The sequence below is a fragment of the Homo sapiens genome, chromosome 1 (assembly GCF_000001405.40).
Source record: "Homo sapiens chromosome 1, GRCh38.p14 Primary Assembly".
Classification (NCBI taxonomy): Eukaryota; Metazoa; Chordata; class Mammalia; order Primates; family Hominidae; genus Homo; species Homo sapiens.
This window is the reverse complement of record NC_000001.11, coordinates 92315069-92342401: the sequence shown is the minus strand read 5'-3', so window position 1 is coordinate 92342401 and position 27333 is coordinate 92315069. Positions and strand designations below refer to the sequence as shown.

At 36.9% G+C, this 27333-nt stretch overlaps 2 protein-coding genes across 6 annotated transcripts in view, besides 1 other annotated feature; one reads left to right on the top strand and one right to left on the bottom strand.

Moving 5' to 3' along the window:
- The window catches only part of GLMN (glomulin, FKBP associated protein), a 124443-nt gene that overhangs the window by 28443 nt on the left and 68667 nt on the right, over positions 1 to 27333 (top strand). The window lies entirely within an intron of this gene.
- RPAP2 (RNA polymerase II associated protein 2) overlaps positions 1 to 27333 on the bottom strand; it is a 102998-nt gene that overhangs the window by 59655 nt on the left and 16010 nt on the right. For all 5 annotated transcript variants that reach the window (NM_024813.3, XM_047430820.1, XM_017002363.3 and 2 more), the window contains exons 7-10: positions 21768 to 21803; positions 18027 to 18957; positions 8929 to 9011; positions 5975 to 6055 (exon numbers count right to left, since the gene is read on the bottom strand). In NM_024813.3, the coding sequence (NP_079089.2) occupies positions 5975 to 6055; positions 8929 to 9011; positions 18027 to 18957; positions 21768 to 21803 (1131 nt within the window). The remainder of the gene's footprint in view (positions 1 to 5974; positions 6056 to 8928; positions 9012 to 18026; positions 18958 to 21767; positions 21804 to 27333) is intronic.
- Positions 24216 to 24510: a silencer, noted in NCBI's record as "tiled region #6980; HepG2 Repressive non-DNase unmatched - State 16:ElonW". NCBI's record gives its function as "represses a minimal TATA promoter and a strong SV40 promoter by Sharpr-MPRA in HepG2 cells {active_cell/tissue: HepG2}" and the evidence as "EXISTENCE:reporter gene assay evidence [ECO:0000049][PMID:27701403]".

The following is a 27333-nucleotide window of genomic DNA, read 5'->3' as shown; positions in this document are numbered from 1 at the left end:
CATATCTCTCTACTCTTGCCTCTGCTCGTTTCTCTAGCCTCACCAGCAACCTAAATATTCTGTGAATACACCAGGCCTGCTCCTGGTTTAGTCTTTGCACCTGCTAATTCCTTGTCTGCTGTAGTTTCACAGACAGCAACACAGCTTGCTCCCTTACCTCCTTTCGGGTCTTTACACAAACAGTGTCTTCTCAATGAAGTCTTCCTTAACCAGCCTATTAAAAAGTGCAACTTTCTCCCTCCTTAGTACTATTTGATTTCCCTGCTTCAAAGGAAAAGGGCATATTTTTGTACTCCCTCTATTAGAATGTAAGTTCCATGAGTGAAGGGATTTGTGTGTTTTGTTCACTGATGTACCTGTAGCAAATAAAACAGTATCTAGCATATAGCCAAAGGAGCTAGCTCAAATAAGGATAAGCATATAGGAATAAAATGACAAAAGAATAAAATTTCCTTTCCTGGCCAGGTGTGTTGGCTCACGCCTGTAATCCTAGCACGTTGGGAGGCCAAGGCAGGCAGATCATGAGGTCAGCAGTTTGAGACCAGCTTGGCCAACATGGTGAAACCCTGTCTCTACTAAAAATATGAAAATTAGCTGGGTGTGGTGGCGCATGCCTGTAATCCCAGCTACTTGGGAGCCTGAGGCAGAAGAACTGTTGGAACTCAGGAGGTGGAGGTTGCAGTGAGCCAAGATTATGCCACTGCACTCCAGCCTGGACGACAGAGCAAGATACAACTCAAAAAAGTATTTCCTTTTCTATTATACTCAAATCTCCTAGAGTTGAGACAGATTTAAGATTTCATAATTCACTTATACATTCACCAAAAATGTATTTAGAGTGTCTGCTGTATTATCACTGTTCCACGCACTGGAGAGAACACAAATAAGAGGTTTTGCTTTCATTTCATTTCATTTCAAAGTACTTCCAGTAGCAAACTAGCAAAATTTCACCTGTTTTCATATTTTTCCTATTGTTGAGCCAAAATAATTTCCAGCACAGATGCTAAATGAATGTATTTACTATTGTTTGAGTGACAATTCAAAAGGGAAACAGTAATATTTGATAGAAAACATTTAAAAAGCAGATTTTTCAGGCCAGGTATGGTGGCTCATGCCTGTAATACCAGCACTTTGGAAGTCTGAGGCAGGCACATTGCTTGGGCTCAGGAGTTCGAGACCAGCCTGGGCAACATGGTGAAACCTCGTCTCTACAAAAAATACAAAAATTGGCGGGGCATGCTGGTGTGTGTCTGTAGTCCCAGCTACTCAGGAGGCTAAGGTGGGAGGATTGCTTGAGACTGGGAGGCAGAGGTTGCAGTGAGTTGAGATCACGACACGGCAGTCCAACCTGGGTGACAGAGTGAGACTCTGTCTCAAAAATAAAAATAAATGAAAAGCAGATTTTCAAAACATAATTTGAAATTCATACAGATTGAAATACCTTGATTCATCACTGATTAAATTTAAAATGGACTTTTGTGTAAAAATAAATTTTAATTCAAATTTAGAAAAATATCTTGATTCAACACTGATGACAGTGAGTCATTATCAAGCAGATTCTGATGGAAACTGCTTTACACTACGACAGGTAAACCAATGTAACATTCTAGATAGCAGATTTGTAATGCAATTCAGTGGAAAAGACAGCTCTATTCACTGGGGAAATTCTCATAGAGCCGAAAAAGCTGCTTTATGTTTAGGTCCCAAAATAGGCTCTTAACTCTGGCTACCTATTAGAATTATCTAAGGGGGGCTTTTAGAAAATACTAATGTCTGAGCCCAACCCTAGCCGAATGAAACTCAATCTCTAGGGTGGAGCCGGACATCTATAGTTGTTAAAAGCTCCCCAGGTAATTCTGATGCACAACTGGCTTGAGAATCACTGTTCTACAAGTTCCTATTATTGATTGTCACTTCAGAGAGAAGGATATGGTTATTTATGTCAACTCTTTCCCACTATCAGTATTGATTGAAAAGATTTCTCAACAATAGTTACTGTCATCAATATGGCATTTTTCCAGAAGCTTCACCTGGCAGCCCTAGCCTACAAACTGTCACAGACCTGCCAACGTTGTCCAGAATCTGGAATCTGAAGACTTCAAATCAGCTGTCTTATCAGAGGTCATTCTGTATTCTAAGCAACTGACACTTTTCTGAAGGACAGTGAAGCCAATTTAAGCAATTTTTATCAAAGCTACAGACTTTGACTTACAGTTACTAAGGAGTAAAGATTTTCAAAAGTAATTAACACCAAGGTTTTTGGAACAGAATTTTATAACACCTCCTACCAAAATAAAGCATACTTTTTTGGGCTTATTTTCCCAAAGCTTTTTATTAAATTTCAAACATATATAAAAGTAGAGAGAATATAAAATAAATTCCTATATACACATCACAACTTTGACAGTTACCAACTCCCAGCTAATCATGTTTCTTCTGTACAACCCCATATTCAACACTACTGCTAATCTAGATAATTTTGAAGCAAATCTCAGATGTCATATAATCAAGTCTTTAAATAATGCAGAAAGTAACTAGAAGGGACTTAGAGCCAGAAAATAGGAATGACAGAAAAAAGTCATAATAGTTTATAAGAGGAAAAGGGCAGTTGAATGTCTCCTCATATCTGCAGTGCTGGGATTACAGACATGAGCCACTGTGCCCGGCTGTATTTTTCATTAATAATAATAATATTTTAAAAAACACAAATTAGTCACTACTTATCAATTCTATGGCGGAAAAATAAAGAGGTCCTTAGATGTAGGAGAAAAAAAACAACTGTGAAGAATCACTACAATAGAAATGTCACTATTACCAGTCTCCATTCAGTAAAAGTTCTAAAATTATTGACTGGCTGCCAGAAGGGAGCAGGCAGGAAAACCAAGGGACTGGGAAGGTCAGTGAGGTATTTGTCCCAAAATTATTATTATTATTTTTTGCATCATGCCCTACAGCAGTAGGTTCTCAGCTTTGACTACCCATTAAAATCACCTGGAGAGCATTAAAATCCTGTCCCTTGAATGCCATATGCCAAACCAATTAAATCAGAATCCTTGGGGGATTGGGGGGCGGTTGTGGGGGCGGGGGTGGGGTAGGACCCAGGTGGCAATTTTTAAAGGCTCCCTAGGTGATTCTAATAAGCTTCCAAATTTGAGCAAATCTCACTGATTAGAAGTATCTGGGGTAGCCTAACATTTTTTTCCTAAAGTTTCTAGTAACTTTTGAGAACCTCAGAATAGTTTTTTAAAAAAGAGACATCAAATTAGATCTATAGAAAAATATTGTTCTAAAAAATATAGACAAAGTAAATTAAATTGCTAGTTAACCTATTCTACATAAGCTAGATAAAAAGTGTGTAGTTGGAGACCATAGGGCTTATTCTCATCTTTTCTGATATGTACAGCATAACTTTATCGGTTTGCTCAGAATGGTGATTAAATAAGTGTTGTCTGCAGGAGGGTGAATGGCAAGTCCTTTGAAAATCAATGAAATGGTCAGGAGCTGTGGCTCTTGCCTGTGTCTGTAATCCCAGCACTTTGAGAGGCAGCAGGATCCCTTGAGGGCAAGAGTTCAAGACCAGCCTGGGCAACATAGTGAGACTGACCCCTATCTCTACAGAAAACTTAAAAAAAAAATTAGCCAGGCTGCGGCTTGAGCCCAGAAGTTAAGGCTGCAGTGAGCCATGATCGCATCACTGAACTCCAGCCTGGGCAACTGAGCAAGACCCTGTCTTTAAAAAAAAAAAAAAAAAAATCAATGATCAGCCTCTGCCTGATCTGACCTTCATCTTCCCTCACTCGACTTTATGTTAGTATGATGATATTCACTCCCTGGTAAATCCTGAACAAATCCTAAACTTCAGTGTTTCCATACTATGTATATCTATTTAAACTTTATCATCAGTGTAGACAGTTGTTAAATACTTTTTATCTCCTTTTGGATGCATGGTTCTGTGATAGGTATAAGACAGTGTATCTAAAAAATGTCTCTCGTCATTACTAACAGGACACACAGCATGCAGACAAGTTCAGCTTTGGACTTGTTATTTTGCTCAAATCCTCTTTTGGCAAAGGCCAAGGCCAATCTGAGGATTGACATCCCTGAACTTGTGAGTGATCAATAATCTTCAAATTGCATAGTTTTCATGACACCTAATGAGGGTAAAAATCTTAGTAATTAGAACAATCATATCATTCAGTTTATCATTACCTAAACATTCACTTTCAAATATAAACATCCTAGATAAAATGAAGTAAAAATGTCTTTATGTGCTTGTTTTATCAGCCAACTGAAGTGTAAAATACCACAATAATTAATGATGCCTGTGAAAGCTTAATTTTAAGTATAAAACAATCAGTAATAACTTTCAATTATTTAGGAAAACAGAATGATAGTTAATACAAACATTGAATACACTAGATTACTTTCTCAAGAACATATCTTGGGAATAGGTTAATAAAAATTTAAATAATCTAAAACAGAATAATAGACATTAGATTTTATAATAACTCAAACTTTGCAGAAATGTATTACCTACTAGTAGTCACAACATTAAAGAAAATAACCTTGAAGACCTGTATTTAAATTTCTGTTGGGGAATTGACGATGAATGAAAATCAATGTCCCCTCAAACTATCATGAGTTGGAAAAATTCCTAAATTATATATAAACAACAGATATATAATAATCCAATATAATATCTAATCATGATATAAAAAAGTGTTAAGATAAAACTTAGAGAAAACTGAGATATCCCAAGTACATTTTGTTTACTCAAAGTTCACTACAGAAGACTCTAGAAGAATGTTTTAAGACATCTATAGTTTGGAATCTATGAAGGTTTGATAGTTTAATGTAAATTATTACAAATTATCCTTTTCAGCAGCTGAAGACAATTCTTTGAAGACAAATAATTTTTGAGGTTTGCCTTAAACTATGAATTCTAGATACAAAGCTCTTTCTAGTAAAAGACTTACTGAAAAACTTTTTCCTGAATTACTTTTGGCATACAAAAAGGTTACTGATGTTTTTAAATTTGCCAGTTTAAAATGATGTCTATTAGGTGTTACTAATGTACAGTATGTGACTGCAAGAGAAATCTAACAGCTGACTATGCCAAGAAACTGTTCCTGTACTGTAATTTTACACTTCTAAAATCTGACTGCTATTGTTGACAACAATAGACTATAATAATAAATATATATGATAAATTTCTTGGATGAATTAATTCTTCCACCCTAGAAGTTTATTCTGTGTCAGTGCAACATCAGCCACAGGCAAATGTTAATTTTAATATTTGGTCACTGGCATTTGGCTGAAATGTGTATTTGGTACACCTCTACTAATAAGCCATTTAGAGGCTTATTGCTATGCTTCTTGGTAGAGAGAACCTAGTCTTAGCCTGAGTGAGTATTTTTATCTTGATAGTTTTAGGAAAAATCACAACAGTTTCACTCACAATTGATATCAATTCTCTATTCTCCCTTTCTTTATAGTTCTTAGCACTTTAAGTCTGTTCTGTGTAATTCAATATTAAATTGCCCACTGTCTTGTACTGTTTACTGTACTCACATGATCTTCACAGAGGAGAGTTCTTCCTTTAGGGTGGCACTATGTTTCTTTTACATTACCCATAGTGCCTGGTGCAGTGTGGGTCAGCCAATATATATTTACTATTTCACTTAAACCCATAGTATTACTGGCTTTGCATCATAGATATAATTTTCCTTCTCAATTTTAGGCTATTCCGTAAATAAACTATCCAAAGTGAAATATATAATGGCTTGAGCAAATAAAGGTTGCATTCAATAGAAGAGAGAAATAATGTTGTTTAGTGGAGGAGAAAATAGAATACTGTATTTAGATCTGTGACATTGAAAGGTAAGTCACTTACTTTCTCTGTGCCTTTGGATTCTGCAAGGCAATAAATAAAGTCAAAATAATTGAGAAGGATAATTGTAATATAAACACTAACCTGAAAGTTCGAACAAGATTTTTAAGTTGTGTGTAAATATCTCCCAATGTAATCTGAAGAGGAACCAGAAGCCCAGGCAACCTGAAAATTTAAAAATTACATTTATTTTAAAACAAAATTATATGGAAACTTTTTTTGGGTCATGCCTAGATCTGAATTTTCCATAGCTAATAATGGCATTTAGATGGAAGCAGTCATGATTTAAAGGTTAACCTAGGTTATGATTGGTGAGAACTCATAAGGAAACATTCATAGTAACCCCACACTCCACTTTGTAGTCTGTTACTGAGTGTGAAGCACTGAAACACAAAATCATTTTGGCAGCTATTTAAATTCTTGTCCCTAGTTTTACTTACCTGTTTATTTTCAAATATTAGACCAAGATGGAAAGAACACAACTGCCCCCAAAATGGTCCAATCTGAGAGTGTGGTATATTCTTCCTTACTAAATCCCCATGGTGGGAGTGAAAATTAGTACCTTTTTAGGAAGCAATTTGACAATATATATTAACAGTTTAAATGTGTTTGACCCAACAGTTTTACTATGAAAAAAATTTAATCTAAGGAAATAATCAGATGAACATAAAAAATATGCTTGTTGCAGAAATAGCTTTAGTAGTGAAAAATCAGAAACAAATGTGTATCAATAGGTGATTGGTTAGATAAATTATGCTATACCCATTTAATAGAATAAGACATTTAAAATAATGTGAATCTATTTTTTAATATAAAAAGATATTCATGATAGATGTGAAGTGAAAAATGTACATAGTATTATCCTATTTTTATAAAAACATGTATTATATAATACCATTGTACTTCATATATATCAAGCATATTTCATTCCTTCTAGGTTTATCCACAGAGAGAACCAAATAGAATGAATATACATATGCCATATATATGTCAGGGATATACATCAAAATATTAATAGTAGTTATTGTTGAGTGGTGGGATTACAGGTAATTTTTACTTCCTTCTTTAAACCATTTTGTACTGCCTCATTTTCTAAAGTATGTGTTACTTTATTTTTTTAAGCTTCTTTTTAAGACCAGTGTGATAGTATAAAAAGTTTCACACATGTTCCAAAATAGAAAGAATAGTAATAATCCCGTATATCTATTTCCAGATTCAATTTCTTAATTTTTGCTACCTTTGCTTCATTTTTCATTCCCTTCAGCACCCAGGCTGGAGTGCAGTGGCATAATCCAAATGTCAGGCAATAACAAATGCTGGTGAGAAATGTGGAGAAAAGGGAACCCTCATACAGTGTTGGTGGGAATGTAAATTAGTACACCCACTATGGAGAACAGTTTAATCACGAGCATAATCATAGCTCACTGCAGACTCAAACTCTCGTGCTCAAGCGATCCTCCACTTCAGCCTCCTGAGTAGTAGCCCCACAACACCCGATTAATTTTTATTTTTATTTATTTTTTTGAGATGGAGTCTCACTCTGTTGCTCAGGCTGGAGTGCAGTGGTGCGATCTTGGCTCACTGCAAGCTCCGCCTCCTGGGTTCGGGCCATTCTCCTGCCTCAGCCTCCTGAGTAACTGGGACTACAGGCATCCGCCACCACGCCCGGCTAATTTTTTTTGTATTTTTAGTAGAGATGGGGTTTCACCGTGTTAGCCAGGATGGTCTTGATCTCCTGACCTTGTGATCTGCCTGCCTCAGACTCCCAAAGTGCTGGGATTACAGGTGTGAGCCACTGCACTCGGCCGAATTTTTATTTTTATTTTTGTAGAGATGTGGTCTTACTATGCTGCCCAGGCTGGTCTTGAACTCCTGGCTTCAGGTGATCCCCTTGCCTCAGCCTCCCAAAGTTCTGGGATTACAGGCATGAGCCACCACACCTGGCACATTTTTTTCTTATTTTGTAGTAATATTTTAAAGTAAATCCCTGTCGTCATGTCATTTGACCCCTAACTGTTTCCATTTTTATCTCTAAATACAAAGGCACTTTCTTATATAATCACAATAAAATGATCATAACCATCCAAATTAACAATTCCTTAGTGTCATCTAATATACAACATATTTTATTTCCTCTGATACTCTGAAATAAACACTTTTTACAATTGGTTGGTTCAAATAAAAAACCAAAAAAGGTCTAACTTTGATAATGAGAAAAAAACCCAACAGCTTTCATAAACAAACAACAAAAAACTCCTATACCATAATTAGTTTTGTCTTCACTCTTCTTTATGCCTTGGTTAATGTGAAATGTTTTCTGTATTTTCAAACTGCTACAAAATAAAACTTCATATTCACAACCCTTAAATAATGACTGACACACTTTTCCATGTTTTCTGCTAAAATAAGAAAATGCAGGTTGAAAAGTTCAACACAGCCCTCATACCTCTGGGAAAAAAAAACCTTCAAGTTCTTTTTGAAAGAAAAACCAAGATAGCAATTTTTAAATGTCATTTATGACTGGGCTAATTACAAGAACAATAATTTCCACCACGGGAAGTTTAAAGCTAAAGTGCAACGTTGAGTTGAACAAAAACTCATGTTGCTGAGTGTGAAATGGTTCTAAGGATATGCATGCAGAGTGACTTAACAGACCCTTAAAACTTTGTAATAACATCTTATTTGCATCTGAAACTGCTGTGACACATTTACCGCAAATCAGTATTTAAATGGGTCTAGCTTTGATATTTTTTCCCTGACTTCACTGATTAGGTGGGAGTAAGGTAGTTTGGTCTTCTAAACCCACAATCTCAACCTTCCTCTTTATGATGTGCCTCTGTGTCCTCTACACAAAAATTTGTATTTCTTGGATAAAATATCTTAAAAATCCAAATTTCTTAAGTGAAGAAATCCATGTGAACTTTTCACATTATTTTTCAAAATGTTCAAAATCTGAGGATAATACTTACACATTATGAGCTTAAATGTCAAGTTAATTTAAAACTACTACAAAGCTGGAATGGCAATTACATACTTACACTTTACTCAACTTTTCAAGTACGATGCGTTTTCTAATCTGGTTCTGGGAACTTGAGTCTATCAGTGGAAAGGTGGAATCATGCTGAATCACATTTTTAAACAAAGCAAAACAGAATCATAAGTTTACATTCTTTCTTTGATAAGCAGAACAATAAACATTAAAACACAAAAGTTTGTATCTGTGGCACAGTAGGAAAATAACTAGACTTGAGAATTAGATTTAAATTTGAGTATCAACTCAGTTGTTAGGCTGTTGTGAACTTCTTTGAGTCATTTGCCCTCTTTGGAGAGTCAGTTTTCTCATCTTTATAATTGGGATATTAATACCTCCTTTATTAAATAATAAAATGTAAACAAAAAGATTTTGTAAACTGCTAAGTGCTGTACAAATGTAGGGGATTAAAATATTAAAATTAGCAAATACTATAAATATATTATGAGGAGTTCAGTCATTATGTCATTTGACCCCTAACCATTCTAGAAATGGCAGACAAGATAATTCAAACCGACTCTCTCTCTGAGAACTGAAAAAAGTTGGGGGAAAACAATCCACATTTGTTTGAAACACATTTGTTAGCATCAGAGAGCTAACGAGGCTATAAAGAATTACAGTCTGAGATCCTGGAGAAGGTAATTACAGATAGAGCACTAATTTTCTAATTAGATATTGAGAAATTGAGCAGTTTTTCTAATAAAAAGAGTTCAGGGTATCCTTCAAGAAGGCAGGGGTATGGGCAACCTTCCCCAAGTATGAGACCAGGACTTGGAAAGACCATACTCTAGGAATAACAGTAAGAATAGGAAATAGACTAGTTCTTTCAGGGAGTGAATCCCACCTTGAAATCATCTTAATCTCTGATTACATTACAGTGACATGGAACTGCTACAAATCATGTCAGAAGCAAATATAAATCTATTCTAGAGGAAGATAACATCATCCTGAGTCTCCAGTTATCTCTGTAATTTTTAATATACAATGTTTGGCATATAATAAAACACGACAATATGATAAAAATCTGAAACAGCCTACAGAGATCAATCCTCAGGGAATCTAAATAATGAAGTTATCAGCATTATTTAAAATACATGTTTAATATATTCAAAGAAAAATTATGAGGTTGAAAATTTTTGACAGATAATTGGAAACTACATAAAATAACAAAATGAAAACCCTAGAATAGAAAAATACGGTATTTAAAAGTAAGAACTAATGGGGAGACATAAAAGCATAGTAGAAATGGCTGAAGAGAGAATGCTGAATAAGAAAATATCCAGAATGAAGCACAGTCACCACTCCCCAAACACATAATGTAAAGCACAAAGGAGATTAAGAGACCTACAAGATACAGTAAAAAAAAAGACTAAAGAGAAGAGGCAGAATGGAATAGAAGCAATATCTAAGAGATAACTGGGAACATTCCAAAACTTACAAAAAAAAACCTTAAAAGAAGCTAGAGGAAGAAAACACAATACTTTCAAAGGAGTAGCAATAAGAGATACAAATGTAAGCCAAAAGACAAGGGAATGATATTTTCAATGGGCTGAAAGAAAATAACTGCTCATCTAAAATTCAATATAGAAAAATATCTTTCAAAAGTGAAAGTAAAATAATTTTCTGACAAAGAAAAACTGAGAAAATTCTTTATCAACTGATACTAAGAGAAGTATATTCTTCAGGCACAAGGCAAATGATCTCAGATGGAAGAATGGGGATAGAAGAAGGAATGAAAAACAATGAAAGAGTAATTAATTGAATAAATCCAGCTGAGTATTGGCTATAAATAATCTTGCAATATATTTGAAATTTAGAGAAAATAAAAATATCCAATAACAGAACATAAGTCAAGAGGGATAGATGGAGTTAAATCATGCTAAGGTGCTAATTGTCCAGGAAGCAATAAAAGTATTAACTTACATTAGACTTTAATAAGACAAAGATTCAGGTTTTAACACTTAGGGTAACCATTTAATGATCAGTAAAAGAGTATATAAAAACAATTTAACAGAGGCTAAAAAATGGAATAATGATTCAATGCAAAAGAAAGCAAGAGAGAAAAGGAAGACAGAATAAGTGGGACACATAGAAAGAGGAGTGAGATGGTAGATTTAAACCCAAATACTGTATACCAATTGTGACATGAAATGCAAATAGATTAAATTCTCCATATAAAGGACAAAGATTATCAATCTAGACAGATTGTCCTTGACCACATTAATACAAGAATGTTAATGTCAGCAAAGTAGACTGTAAAGAAAAAAAGCAAATAGAAAGGTTGCTCCATAGTGATATGAGTTTCAATTCACCAGGAAGACATAACAATTTTACATTTATACCCAATAACATGGTCTCAAAAAGTAAAATTTGCAGAAATAAAAGTAGAAATAATCAATCCACAATTAAGGTGAGAGATTTTTAACTCATCTTTCTCAGTGACTGATGGAATGAGCAGACCAAAACCCAAACCCAAACCACCACACCCCAACAGTGCTTCTCAAATGTTAATGTGCATGCTCATCTTCTGGGGATCTTGTTAAAAAGTAATTCTCATTCAGTAAATATGGGGTGGGGATAAGAGTCTGCATTTCTAACAGGCTTCTAGATGATGTTGACGCTGCTGGTTCCATGGACCACACATTGTATAGTAAGCACTGTATTAGTCTATCTTTGTGTGTTTCTGAAAATTTCCATAACAAAAAGTTTTTAAAAATTGACTACCCACAGGCCAGGCGTGGTGGTTCACACCTATAATCCCAGCACTTTGGGAGGCTGAGGCAGGCAGATCACTTGAGCTCACGAGTTCGAGACCAACCTGGCCTGGCCAACATGGTGAAACTGTGTTTCTACTAAAAATACAAAAGTTAGGCAGGCATGGCACGGGTGCCTGTAATCCCAGCTACTTGGGAGGCTGAGGCAGGAAAATCGCTCGAACCCAGGAGGTGGAGTTTGCAGTGAGCCAAGATGGCACCATTGCACTCCAGACTGGGCAACAGAGAAGATTCCATCTCAAAAAAAAAAAAAAAAAAAAAAAAAAATTGACAACCCACAAAGAAAATCAGAGGAAAAGATAGTTCAATGAGTGATCTTCTAAACATTTAAAGAACTAACATTAATTTTAGACACATTCTTCCAGAAATGGAGGGAACATTTCCCAACTTGTTTTACCAAATGATTACAACCAAAACCTGATAACGATATTACAAGAAAGGAAAATTATAGGCAGTGCAAGGTATCTTCATTCTGAACAATTTTCACCCTTTTCCACCTGTCTTTGTACTTCAGAAGGCTGATCTGTATGGGCTGCATCAATGGGCTTCCTTGCTCTCTGGCTTTTATCTCAGTTTTGCCAATGAAGAATAAGAAACTGGACGGTGCAGAAGAGTCATTCCCACTTGGTCCACTACAAGCAGCACTTCCTTGGTACAAGACCTTGTGGTCCACTCCTACCTTTTTCCTTGAGGTCTAGGGGTGGTGAGGGCTCTCAAACTATGATTAGTGTATCATTCCTTTGGTTTCCTTCATTCTGACCACATTTTCACGCTTTGGAAAACAGTCCTATAATTAAACTTTCCTCAGATTACTTAATTTGTACCATGTGATTTATGATGAGACCATGACCAATTCATACGCTAATGTCACTCATTCTGAAAATATGTGCAAAAATTCTAAGGCAAATATTAGGAGGACCAAATCCAGTATTATATAAAAAGGCTATTATAGCTCAATCAAGTTGAGTTTATTATAAGAATGCAAAGTTGGTTTAATATTAAAAATAAATGTTAGGTCTGGGAAAAAATAGCAGATAGGAGGCAGGACTAACTTGCAGTTCCCACTTGGTCAGACAGAGCGGCATGTGGAGACTCCCATCATGAACTTTTGCTCCAAGAACTACCGCAGAAACATACCAGAAAAGGCAAGGAACTGTGAGTCAGCTTGCTTTCTCAGCTGGGAGGCCTGTAGCCTGGGGCAAGTTCTCAGCCCTGCTCATCAGCTGCCTGGAAATAAACTTGGTGCTGTTGTGGGGGCACGGTGGGAGTGAGTCTGGCCTTTTAGGCTGCAGGCTGTGTGGAAGCTGGGTGAGGCCTGTGGTTGCCAGCTTTCCCCCACTTCCCTAGTGACCTGTGTGATGCAGCAGAGTCAGCCATAATCCACCTGGGAACATAACTCCATTGGCCTGGGAATCACACAATGGTACCCCCACCTGATGGTCTTTCTCTACTGGCCCTGGTAGCCGAAGACAAAGGACTTAATCTCTTGGGAGCTCTATGGCCCTACCCACTGCCTGACCCCAGAGCAAGCTTGTATCCTCCCTATCCTACTGCAGCTGATGCACTCTTGAAAGCACCACCTCCTGGCTGAAGGCCAACCAACACAAAACCAGCGCACTTAAAAAAAATACAATTAAGGACCCTCACAGAGTCCACTTCACTCCCCTGTACCTCCACTGGAGCAGGTGCTGGTATCCACAGCTGAAGACGGATCACATCACAGGACCCTTTGCAGACACTCCCTAGTACCCGCCAGAAGCCTGGTAGCTCTGCTGGGTGGCTAGATCCACAAGAACAATAACAATCACTGCAGTTTGGCTCTCAGGAAGCCCCATCCCTAGGGGAAGGAGGAGAGCACCAAATCAAGGGAGCACCCTGTGGGACAAAAGAATCTAAACAGCAGCCCTTGAGTCCCAGATCTTCCTTCTCACAGTCTACCCAAATGAGAAGGAACCAGAAAAACAATTCTAGTAATATGACAAAACAAGGATCTTTAACAACCCAAAACATCATACTAGCTCACCAGCAATGGATCCAAACCAAGACAAAATCTCAGAATTGCCAGAAAAAGGATTCAGAAGGTCAATTATTAAGCTAATCAAGGAGGCACCAGAGAAAGGTGAGGCCCAACTTAAAGAAATCAAACAAATCATACAGGATATGAATGGAAAAATCTCCAGTGAAATAGATAGCATAAATAAAAAACTATCACAACTTTGGGAAATGAAGGACATACTTAGAGAAATGCAAATGCACTGGAAAGTCTCAGCAATAAAATTGAGCAAGTAGAAGAACTTCAGAGCTTCAAGACAAGGCTTTTGAATTAACCCAGTCCAACAAAGAAAAAAGAATTTAAAAAATGAACAAAGGCTCCAAGAAGTTTGGGATTATGTCAAACAAACAAACCTAAGAATAATTGGTGTTCCTGAGAAAGAAGAGAAATCTAAAAGTTTGGAAAACATATTTGAGGGAATAATCAAGGAAAACTTCTCCAGCCTTGCTAGAGACCTACACATCCAAATACAAGAAGCTCAAAGAACACCTGGGAAACTCATCATAAAAAGATCATTGCCCCGGCACATAGTCATCAGGTTATCGAAAGTCAAGATGAAGGAAAGAATCTTAAGAGCAGTGAGGCAAAAGCATCAGATAACTTATAAAGGAAAGCCTATCAGATTAACAGCAGATTTCTCAGCAGAAACCCTATAAGCTAGAAGACATTGGAGTCCTATCTTTAGCCTCCTTAAACAAAACAACTGTCAGCCAAGAATTTTGTATCCAGCGAAACTAAGGTTCATAAATGAAGGAAAGATAGTCTTTTTCAGACAAACAAATTCTGAGAGAATTCACCACTACCAAGTCAGCACTACAAGAACTGCTAAAGGAGCGATAAATCTTGAAACAAATCCTGGAAATAATACCAAAATAGAATCTCTTTAAAGCATAAATCTCACAGGACCTATAAAACAATAAGACAATGAAAAAAAAAAAGCTGTTCAGGCAACAAATAGCACGATGAATAGAATAGTACCTCACATCTCAATACTAACATTGAATGTAAATGGCCTAAATGCTCCACTTAAAAAATACAGAATGGCAAAATTAATACGAATTCACCAACCAAGTATCTGCTTTTCAAGGGACTCACCTGACACATAAGGATTCACATAAACTTAAGGTAAAGGGTGGAAAAACATATTCCATGCAAATGGACACCAAAAGTGAGAAGTAGCTATTCTTATATCAGACAAAACAAACTTTAAAGCAACAGCAGTTTAAAAAGACAAAGAGGGACATTATACAATGATAAAAGGACTAGTCCAATAGGAAAATATGACAATCCTAAATAAATATGCATCTAAACCTGGAGCTCCCAAATTTATAAAACAGTTACTACGAGACCTAGGAAATGAGATAGAAAGCAACACAATAATAGTGGGGGACTTCAGTACTCCACTGACAGCACTAGACAGGTCATCAAGACCTGTTCCTGAATGATCACTAGGTCAACAATGAAATCTAAGTAGAAATTAAAAAATTCCACTGTGGTCTGAGAGAATATTTGATATAATTTTGATTATACCCTAGAACAAATGGATTTAACAGATATTTACAGAACATTCTACCCAACAACAGCAGGATATACATTCTATTCATCAGCACATGGAACAGTCTCCGAGATAGACCATATGATAGGCCAGCTGAACTTTGTAACAATTCCAAATGAACAGGAAGTCTCCTGGCCAGAACTCAAGGGAGGGTGTGAATCTGGTGTGCAGACTCCACAGGCTGGGAGATGTGAAAGCCCTACTTGTTCTCACAGGTGAGAGGCTGGTAGCCTGGGGCAAGTTCTCAGCCCTTCCTGCCCACTGCCTGTAAACAAACTTGGTGCTGTTTGAAGGGACATGGTGGGAGTGAAACTGGTCTTTTGGGTTGCATGGGAGCTGGGTGAGGCCTGCCACCAGCTTTCCCCCACTTCCCTGACAACCTGCATGACACAGCAGAGGCAGCCATAATCTTCCTGGAATAGCTCCACTGACCTGGGAACCACACTCCCATCCCCCACAACAGCCACAGCAAGCCCTGCCCAAGGAGTCTTGAGTTCAGACGCACATAGCCCTGCCCCCATGACGGTCCTTCCCTACCCACTCCGGTAGCTGAAGACAAAGGGCATATATTCTTGGGAGTTCTACGGCCCTACCCACAGCCTGATCCTCCCTATACTACCACAACTGATGCTCTCTTGAAAGTGCCACCTTCTGGCAGGAGGCTAACCAGCACAAAAATAGTACATTAAACAACCAAAAGCAAGGATCCTCACAGAATCCATTTCACCCCCCTGCCATCTCCACCAGAGCAGGTGCTGGTATCCATGGCTGAGAGATCTGCAGACCTGACCTAAGAGATTATCCAAGTGGTCAATAAGCAAATAAAATAGTGCTGAATTTATTCATCATCACAGTAATGTATTATAATCATAAACCAATACTACCAGAATGGCTAAAACTAACTATATCAAGTACCAGGGAGGACATGGAATCAAGGAAACTCCCATATAGTAGTAGTGGAACTGTAAACCGGTACAACCACTTTGGAAAACTGTTTGGCATTATCTAGTATAGTTGCATATATGCATATACGATAACCCACCATTCCCAGTCCTAGATACTTCAGAAATACATACGCATATTAGCAGAGAGATAAATACGAGAAAGTTCCTAAGAATATTGTTCATAATAGCCCCAAATTGGAAATAGTCTAAATGTCCATTAGCATAAATAAATGGTATATTTATATAATGGAATACTATACAGCAATAAAAGAATGAACTACAGCTATATGCAACAACACAAATGACTCAAAAGTATAATATTGCATGAAATAAACTGGACACCAAGAATATATACTGGAAAAAAAATGACAGAACTAATCTGTGCTAATATAATATTAATTTTGGAAAGAGGTGCTGATTAGGAGGGGATATATATGGGGCTTCTAGTTTACTTGTAATGACCTATTTCTTGGCTTGGGTAGTGATTACATCAGGACATTCATATGTGAATACTCAAGAAATCATATAATTACTATTTGTGTTGTACTTCAATGGAAATGTTTTAACATGTTATGTAACATTTTTGGAAAATGTTATAAATTTTTAAAAGTCAAATTTCAGGGATTATTTTTTCCTTTTTAAGGCTAAAAAGGACAAAATGATAAAATAAGTGATGTTCTATGGTAGGTTTATGCAGCTCAGTGACAGAGATCAATGTTTCTCCTAGCTTAATATAAGTTTTGGATGATGTCTAATAAGATACTTGAAATGATTTGAAGTAGGGTGCTGGGCCAAGCAACACTCTATAGAAATATATTTCTAAATTTTTTACTACATTTCTACTTCTACCCTCTTTCCAAATCTCCAATGTGCTTTTAAATTTAGAGCCACATTTACTTAGGAATATTTGAGAACAAAGTTTTGTGGTAAAAACAAGGTTATTACCCATTCCTCTTCATGTTAAATGACTTCATTTTCCAGGGAGTATACATCAATCAAAGATGGGTAGTAGAAATACTAAAAGATGCTCTCTAAATCTCAGTGGCACATTTTCAATCTCTACATATGGGTACTATTTACTGAGTACCAATTATATGTCATGTACTGTGATAAATGCTTTATACACATTATCTTTAAAACAAATAACAATTGAGCAAGAGAAGCTATTAATAGTTCCATTTACAGATGAGCAAACAGACCAAGAAACTAATTTTTCATACAGCTAGTAAATGACACAACAGATGTTCAAATCTAGGTCTATCTGAATGTGCTTTCCATTCTCTTTGTCCATTATTTCCCAATAAGTCTCTTTTACAAACTATTTTGATCTGTAATGTTTTCAATGGACATGCTTGCTAAATATTTTCCAATGTAACTACCAAGTCTATTCCATGGCATATACTTCCATTAAACACACACACACAGACCCCATGTAAAAATCTGAAAGAATACCGAAGAAGAAAAAGCAAGCCTCTTCAGAGGCTTCATTTATTGTATGAAGAATTAGGGAAAACTTTGTCCCACCATTTTAGGCTATTTTTACATTAGAAAAAAATATTGCACACTGATGAAAATTTGCTAGGGGTAAACGTCAACTTATTTGTAAAATAGTAATGCCAACAGTGGAGATGGCACTGTAAACCAAAAGGCAGAATGACTAAAGAAACTATTTGAAAATTTAACAATTAACTCTTCAATATCCTTCCTGCTCCAAGATTTGCTGTGGTGAGTTTTCCAAATGTTAACGATCTGGAAAAACTCAATGTCTGTAAGACATACCTCTTCTGAGTCTTGTGATTTGGTGGTTTCTTCACCCAAAACATACCGTCCTCTGTAAAACTCCCTGATCCTCAGATTTAACTTTTCAGTTTCTTTTTTCAAATTCTCGTAACTTGGCAGTGGTTTAATGGCTGTACCTGAGCCCCTAAAAGGTAAAGACTCATCCAAGCTGTTCTGAGATTCCCTCCAGGCAGGGAAATGACTATCTGGATCTGAGATTATGTCATCTTCATCAAGTTCTTCTTTAACCAGAGAGGCTTCGGGTTTCAGACACACAGAAGCATAATTCTGGCCATACAAAAACCTCAATGTTTCTTCTGTCTTCCACTCAATCAAAGTCTCCTTCAAAACTTTAAGTAAGTTTCTCTTTCCAACTTCAGGACACACCTGCACTGAACTAGACACTGACCTAGACACTTGGTTTGATTTGGCAAATTTTCTCTTAAAATGCTCTGCACTTTTCTTACTTATGCCTACTAGAGTTATTTCTGACCTACTGTATTCACTTTCAGAATTTTCTGACGCTTTTAATCTTTCAGGCAAAGTGCTATTTGAAGAACTCTGAGTATTTACTTTCTGTAAAGGAAGTTCACATGTAGCATCTTTCTCCTGACTATCTAATTTGCAATCGCCTAACTGCTCAGTGACATCTACTACTGTCTGTTCTTTGTCTTTGTGTTTGGAGTTAGCTTTGTGACCAGCTTTCTTTTTCATTATGCTTTTTTGGTGCAGCTGTGGTCTAATATTTGTTGAATTTGGTCTGTTTCCTGGTAGAATGGAGGAAACAAAGTCTTGCTCATTGTCACTGCTACTATCACTGTGAGTGCTAGAAGAACTAGATTCATATTGCTTTTCAAAGTGGCTAGGATTGTCGATATCTGATGTTTTAATGGCTTTACTGCATAACTGTACTTCTTCTCCAGAATGGCCACTGTAGAATGAAAGAGAAATAAAATAACTAAATAAAAAATAGCAAATAAAACCCGAAAACAATAGAAAAGTAAAGTACCCCATAGTATTTATACATTGTAACTTTCAAGGTAGAAATTTTTATTCCCCAGACAAAACCTTATTTCTAGGTTCTGATATATAAATTTCAGAAGAAGCCTATAATTTCAGTACATCTGTTAATAATATATTTTTTGATATAGTTCTCCTTCTGTATTCTTCCTTCATCTTTTTCCCCCAATTATTTTAAAATTGTTACAGGAGTACAGCAAAACTTTTTAAAAAACTTGATAATGCTATCCTACTGCACTATTTGGATTTGCCTGTTGTTGCAAATATATATATATATATAAATATATATATAAAGTATATATATAAATATAAAGATATATAAATATATAAAAATATAAAGTATATATTTATATGTACACATATTTACATATATAATATATACTTGTACATATATAATGTATATTATATATAATATATAAAGTATATATGTAGTTTAAAAAATATATAATATGAAAAATAATATAAAAATAAATATATATTTTTAAGACAAAGTCTGTGTTGCCCAGGCTGGAGTGCAATGGTGTGAACTCAGCTCACTGCAACCTCTGCCCCCTAGGTTCAAGCGATTCTCCCACCTCGGCCTCCCAAGTAGCTGGGATTACACGTGGGCACCACCACGCCTGGCTAATTTTTGTATTTTTTTAGTAGAGATGGAGTTTTGCCATGTTGGCCAGGCTGGTCACAAATTCTTGGCCTCAAGTGATTTGCCCACCTTGGCCTCCCAAAGTGCTGGAATTACAGGGGTGAGCCACCGTGCCCGGCTGAGCTTTTTATTTTTTATTTTTTGTATTTTATTTTATTTTTATTCATTTGAGATGGAGTCTTGCTCTGTCACCCAGGCTGGAGCGCAGTGGCAAGATCTCGGTTCACTGCAACCTCTGCTTCCCAGGTTCAAGTGATTCTCCTGCCTCAGCCTCCCAAGTAGCTGGGATTACAGGTGCACACCACCATGCCCAGCTAATTTTTGTATTTTAGTAGAGATGGGGTTTCATCATGTTGGCCAGGCTGGTCTCAAACTCCCGACCTCAAGTGATCCACCTGTCTTGGCCTCCCAAACTGCTGGGATTACTGGCTGACCTTTTTAAAAAAAGTTTTTCTTTTGAAAACTTTGGCTGAGTGTGGTGACTCACATCTGTAATCCCAGCACCTTGGGAGGCCAAGGCAGGTGGGTCACCTGAGGTCAGGAGTTCAAGACCAGCCTGGCCAACATAGTGAAACCCTGTCTCTACTAAAAATACAAAAATTAGCCAGGAGTGGTGGCGCATGCCTGTAGTCCCAGTTACTCAGGAGGCTGAGGCAGGAGAACTGCTTGAACCCAGGTGGCAGAGGTTGCAGTGAGCCGAGATCGCGCCACTGCATTCTAGCCTGGGTGATAGAGTGAGACTCTGTCTTGAAAAAAAAAAAAAAAAAAGAAAGAAAATTTCATTATCGGTTTCTTAAATAAAAAAAAAAATTACAGGAATTGTGTTTAGATTTGAAAAGATAAAATGATAAAAATAAATGGGTAAACATTTTCTAATTCTGGTTGATTGTTGTACAGAAAATTCTACAGAATGAAAATCACAGGAAAGTCATAGCAGAACAAGTTAGCAAATCAACATTTTTCAATAAAAGATATTTAAATTTGAAAATCCAGAGTTACAACAATATGCTAACAATAAAAGACAAAAGTTTTCCCTGACAATGTTCTTCAATTTTCAGATTAGATTTGAATAAGATGAAGAATTACGAAAAAGGGAAGGCAACAGTAGCTTTGCCAATACAAACTTGAAACAAACAAGGATGCTCTAAAGCACAGACACTATCAAAACTTTAAAAGATCAGGATGAAAAAGACTCTGGGTCAAGAAGCAAGCTGTGGGGAAATGTAAAGAAAAAAATATATATATATATAAAAGTTGAAAGCAAGGTCATGGATGGGAATGAAGAAAAAAGATGAAAAGTTAGTTTAGTCTTAGATACCATCTTTTAGTTAGAATCTAGCCTATATAGCCATGGGGCTGTCTCTTGCATCAGAAGAAAAGTAAAAATAGGTGTAAGCTCAAAAAAATTAGAACAATTTAACTTTCATGTATTTCATACTTTCTCTTGGAGTTTTAAGGCAATTATGTTTTTATACTACTCTGAAGCTATAAAGATATACATCAATAAATAAATATCTCTTATTTGTGCTCAACGCCATGTGACTAAGGTAGTGACTATTAACTAGGAACATTTATTCTGAGAGTTAAGGGATGTGTTTTGAGAGATGGCCATGGTCAGGCAAACAATACCATGAGGAAAGTTTAGAAAGAAAATCACAACTTGGAATTTATATTAATGCTTTAGATGCTCTTTCAAATAATTAAGTAACTGGTACATTACTGGTTTTGAAATCCTATAGGACTGTAAAAACCTTTCAACAAATGTAATAGGCACAATCTAGTTGACAAAGAAGCATGGTATCTGAGATGGAGGCTGTGTTTATGTCATATTTCAACAGGTTAAATTAGATTTCCTCGGGAGGAACAGCTGTACAATAAATCATACAGATCAAACACATCATCTTACCATCACAAAAGAAAAAGCTGAACAGGTCAAATATTTCTTTGTGTGGGCTAGAATGGGACACTTACATAATGCATCAGCACAGGAAGTCCAAGAGCTCATATCACCTGGTTCACTCCTAATGTTTCTATTAACATAAATATATAAATGGTAAATGATACTGATTCAACCATACCTTTGTTCTTCCTTTAGCAGTTGAAAATCAGGATGCCTGTAATAAGAACACAGAAATAAAAATTAGGCCGGGTGCGGTGGCTCATGCCTGTAACCCCAGCACTTTCGGAGGCTGGGCAGGCGGATCTCGAGGTCAGGAGATTGAGACCATCCTGGCCAACATGGTGAAACCCCATCTCTACTAAAAATACAAAAATTAGCTGGACATGGCGGTGCGCGCCTGTAGTCCCAGCTACTCAGGAGGCTGAGGCAGGAGAATCGCTTGAACCAGGGAGACAGAGGTTGCAGTGAGCCGAGATTGCGCCACTGCACTCCAGCCTGGCGACAGAGCGAGACTCCATCTTAAGAAAAAAAAAGAAAAAAATTAAAGGACAAAGTACTCTGAAATTCATCAACAAGAAATCTGGATTAGTCTCTCTCTTACCCAAACTATACTCACTTTTCAGGGTTAAGTTCAAATTCCACCAGCCCAATAAAGTTTTCCTTGACTAACTTGGACTAAAGTAAATCCCTTCCCTAAATTCCAGAGTCATCATTGTCTGTACAATTAACATAATTAATCATGAACTCCTTTATGGCCTACTACTAGAACCATTACCTAAATGTTTAACTTTTTCTTTTTCTTTTTTTTTTTTTTGAGATGGAGTTTTGCTCTTGTTGCCCAGGCTGGAGTGCAATGGTGTGATCACAGCTCACCATAACCTCTGCCTCCCGGGTTCAAGTGATTCTCCTGCCTCAGCCTCTCAAGTAGTTGGGATTACAGGCATGTGCCACCATGCCCAACTAGTTTTGTATTTTTAGTAGAGATGGGGTTTCTCCATGTTGGTCAGGCTGGTCTTGAACTCCTGACTTCAGGTGATCCTCCTGCCTTGGCCTCCCAAAGTGCTGGGATTATAGGCATGAGCCACTGTGCCTGGCCAATGTTTAACTTTTCATATGTTTAAGTCTGGTTTCTTAACTAGACTATAAGCTCCTTAAAGGCAGAGACTGTTTATAATTGTTGGATTTCCTTTACATGGTCAGTAAGACTTTTTGCCTTAATTTCTGAGAAAGCAGTTACATTGGAGTAGTAACAACCCCTCGCTCCCCACTGCCCCCACCTCAGCCTTCCACAGTGCTGGGATTACCAGGTGTGAGCCACCGCGCCTGCCAGACCTTAAAATTTAGTAGAAGAAAAATGCATGTTCTAAGAGCTTTACAGATATTGATCCTCATAACAACGATGTAGCTACTAATATTATCCCCATGTTATAGATAAGGAAACTGAGTACAGAGAGAATAAGCAATTTGCCCAAAATCACACAGCTAGTAGGTGGTGAAGCCAGGAATCAAACCCAGACAGTAAAGCTCATAATAACTACACTGTTATTCAAGACAATATGTGTTAAATGCCATGAGAGATGTATAAGCTGCTACAGGAAATCAGAGAAAAACTTGCTTCTGAGCCAATCAAAAGGAGTTTCAGAGAGGTGTCATTTCAGCTGGGCTTATAAAGATGGATACAGTCTGTATATAAAGGCATTTGAGGCTAATCCCTTGAATCTCCACTCTGGGGTATTTACTCTACAAACCTCTCCCTTTTTTCTCTTTTTTAAAGCATGTAATCGTGTTTAAATCTACCCAATCTCTTAAAAAAAACAAACAAACAATCCTTTGATCATACAGCCCCTACTCATTTCATCGTAAGCCTTTATTAAAGAAGTCTGCCCTCATCATTTTCAACTTCCATATTTCCTACTCAGTTATCAGCTTTCTGCCTTCTGGAATCTGTACTCATTTCTCTCCTGAAATGGCTCTCACTGAGATCACCAATTACTATAAGACTGCTCATAGATATTTTTCAGGTTTTTTTAAGGTAGAGGGAAAATAATCAATATGAAAGGATATCTCAAAGGAGGCAGAATACAAATAAATCATAAAGCAAGGCCCAGGAGAGAAAGTGGAATCAGTAAGATAAAGGAGGGTACTTTATCAGCAATGAGGCAGAGAAATGAGAGCCCATATGAAGAAAATAATGTTGAAGGAGTTTCTGCTGGATGCCTCCAATTGGTTCAGTAAAGTGGGTTAAACTATCTACTATGGTTGGTGGTCGATTCAAAGTTTGAGAGTAGAAAAGGTCTATTCTATAGTCAGTAAGAAAGAAAAAAAAGGTGGGAAAAACATAGTAGAGAGAACAGGGCCAAAGGGATACAATGAATGTAGGCTTGGATATCAGACAGACCTGGGTTTAAATCCCAAATCTATATGTAACTAAGTGTCCTTGGGTGAGTCACCATACCACTCTGAGCCTCAGTTCCACCATCCATAAAGTGAGTAACATAATATTTCCCCAGGGATGCTAAGAGGACTGAATTAAATGAGATAGCTTATCTAAAGCGCTAATGGTCTTATTTGAGAACTTTCCCCAAAATGTTCAGCAAGCTAAATAGAAAAAAAGTATGACTGGAGGTTGGGAAGGTGGACATGCCAGAAGGTTAAGGGAGAAAGAATCTACAATTGTTTAAGAGGACACTGTAATCGCTGACTGTAGAGCTCAAGAAAACAAAAGTAAGAGGGTCTGCCAACTCAGAAGAATAGAGCTAGGCTAGAGATAGGAGGTCAAAATGAGGTCACAAAGCAGACTCAGGAGTGATAGCTGCAGATTGAGATAGAGGTTGTGGTCAGAGACGGGAAGCTCTTATTTCAAGATCTTGAAGGCAGAATAGTTCCAAACAAGAATGAGGTCCAAGTGTAGCTCAATCAAATGGTAATCAAAATATATAAACATTACTGTAAATTATGAATGCAATTTAAGACAGCTTTATGCAACATCTCCTGCTATACAACTTGTTATTTTTTGAGAATTAAAAGAAAATTGTATCTTTAAAGAAGGCAAGGGAAAAAGCATAAGGTAGGCATCACCTACCATATGCTAGGTGGATTTTTTAAATTGTGGTAAAATTTACCGTTTAATACATTTTTAGGTATATAGTTCAGTAGCATGAAGTATATTTACACTGTTGTGCAACTATCGCCACCATGCATCTCCAGCACTTTTTCATCTTCCCAAATTGTCTGCTAGATGGTTTTACACATTATTTCATTTAATCCTCACACAATTTACAACTCTATTTTTATTTTTATTTTTTTTGAGACAGAGTCTCACTGTTGCCTAGGCTGGAGTGCAGTGGCACAATCTCGGCTCACTGCAACCTCCGCCTCCCAGGTTGAAGCGATTGTCCTGCCTCAGCCTCCTGAGTAGCTGGGATTACAGGCACCCGCCACTACGCCCAGCTCATTTTTTGTATTTTTAGTAGAGATGGGGTTTCACCATGTTGGCCAGGCTGGTCTCGAATTCCTGACCTCATGATTCACCCGCCTCGGCCTCCCAAAATGCTGGGATTACAGTTGTGAGCCACCGCACCGAGCCTTCAACTCTATTTTTATAGATGAGGAAACCGAAGTTTTGAGAGGTTAAATGACTTCCTAAGATCACATAGCTAACAAGTAGTAAATCTAGGATTCGAATTAGGCCAAGCCCTTTCTATATCCTGTTGCCTCTATTTAGTGTTAGAAAAAGACCCAAAAAAGTTGCAAGGATACCACCTTTGCTTAATCCCTTTCACAGGAACTCAATATACTTTACAAACTATTTTCTTCTCCTTTGTGTAATTTTTCTAAGAACTAAACTCAACATTGTTTCTAGATCTTAACTATCTTAAAGGAACCTTAAATACCTTCCCTCATCCCCAATCTATAAAGAATGGTACCTGACACTGAAATAAACTAGATTCAAGATTCGATATAAAATTCCAGTTTGTTTTTGCTAGGTGCTGTTTTAGAAAGAATGAAGCACCAAGTTACATTGCTCTTTCTTTTCTGTCCTTTCTTAGATGAAATCCAAATTTCTTTCGTTTGAAGAGAAAGTGCCATTTCTCTTCCAGCTAAGTATTTTCTATTATCTTCCCACAATTTTTGTTGTCCTGAAGATAGTTGTGAAAGCTCAGTTTACAAAACAAAAATATGTAACCATCCTAGTTAAAGAATGCTTGTAAGCTGTTTCTTTATAAACATTTTCATCTTACTTTCACTAAGGTATAAATTAGATGATTGGTTTTCATTTTAGCAAAGTAAATCTAAAACTAGAAATAACTTATGCCAAAGAACTTAGTGGATATATGTACATATTTATATATATGTGCATATATATCACTTGGAATATGTATGTTATATGTAAACCAACAGAAGCAGCAGGTATGGTGAGAACTTTTCAAATCTATTTTGAGACATGTCAAACCCTGTTTCAGAAAGCTTTTATTCTGCATACCAAGCAACAGAGGTGGCTGTTCAGGAAGAGGTTATAGTTGTTCTGCAGAGGTTTTTGGCTTCCGCACCTCTGAGATTCTACTGTTTACTGCCAAGAAGCAACGTGTGAAATCCCCTACTCTGGACCAGATGATGGCGCTTTTAGCTCTGTCAGCATTAACCATTCACCCCAATTTCATCTTTAAAATCATAATTTGATTTTCCACATTTGTCCTTCTTAGATTTAAGATTTTAGATTACAATGCAGGAGACTTCCCACCTTCAAAGGCTTGTCAGAGCCTACATTTAGCCAAACAGGATTTATAACTGCAACTATATAATTACCTATGTGAGCACACTGTCTCAGAGCATCAAAACTCTATGTGGTCTGTTTCTGGCCACCAAGTGGGTGAAAAATTTCTAACTCACAAGATGAGAAGCATCACAGTGCGTCACGACCCAGACCATTCTAGGTCAATGTTTTGTCTCTAACAGGGTATCAGGAGACATTTTGTGAGAACCACTGTTAGTCTCCATGACATTACGGATCTACTCCAGATATTTTACATACCTTAAAGATGAGGAGCTAGAAAACCTCCAAGGCCCTTTCTGACTCCAAAACCTTATAAAAGTATGGAGGTAGAATTTATGAATTTGTCTAAATCTTAAATTTATTTAAACATCTATACCAATGAGGTAGTGAGCTTACTGTGATATAAAGATATTACTCTTATAAATTCTAAGGGATATTGTTTGGTTTTGGTATTATAAAATCTGGTAAATAAATTTACACAAGCATACCTTGTTTAACTGTGCTTTCCTTTACTGCGCTTTGCAAATACTGCATTTTTTACAAATTGAATGTTTGTGGTAACTGTGTCTGCCAGTCTGTCAGCACCATTTTTCCAACAAAATGTGTTCTCTGTGTCACAGTTTGGTAATTATCATATTTCAAACTTCATTATTATCTGTTATAGTAATATGTGGTAATTTTTGATGTTACTGTTGTAATTGCTTTGGGGTACCATGAACCAAGCCCACATAAAATGTCAAACTTAATTGATAAATGTGTGTGTTCTGACTGATCCACCAACCAGCTGTTCACCCATCTCGCTTCCTCTTCTCAGGCCTCCCTATTCCTTGAGACACAACAATATTGAAATTAGGCCAATTAGTAACTTTACAATGGAAGACTCACTGACATTGAATACTGCTTTTCCTTTAAATTTTTTTTTTTTTTGAGACTGCAACAAGACAAGACCTCTGTCTCTCTGAAAAGCTAA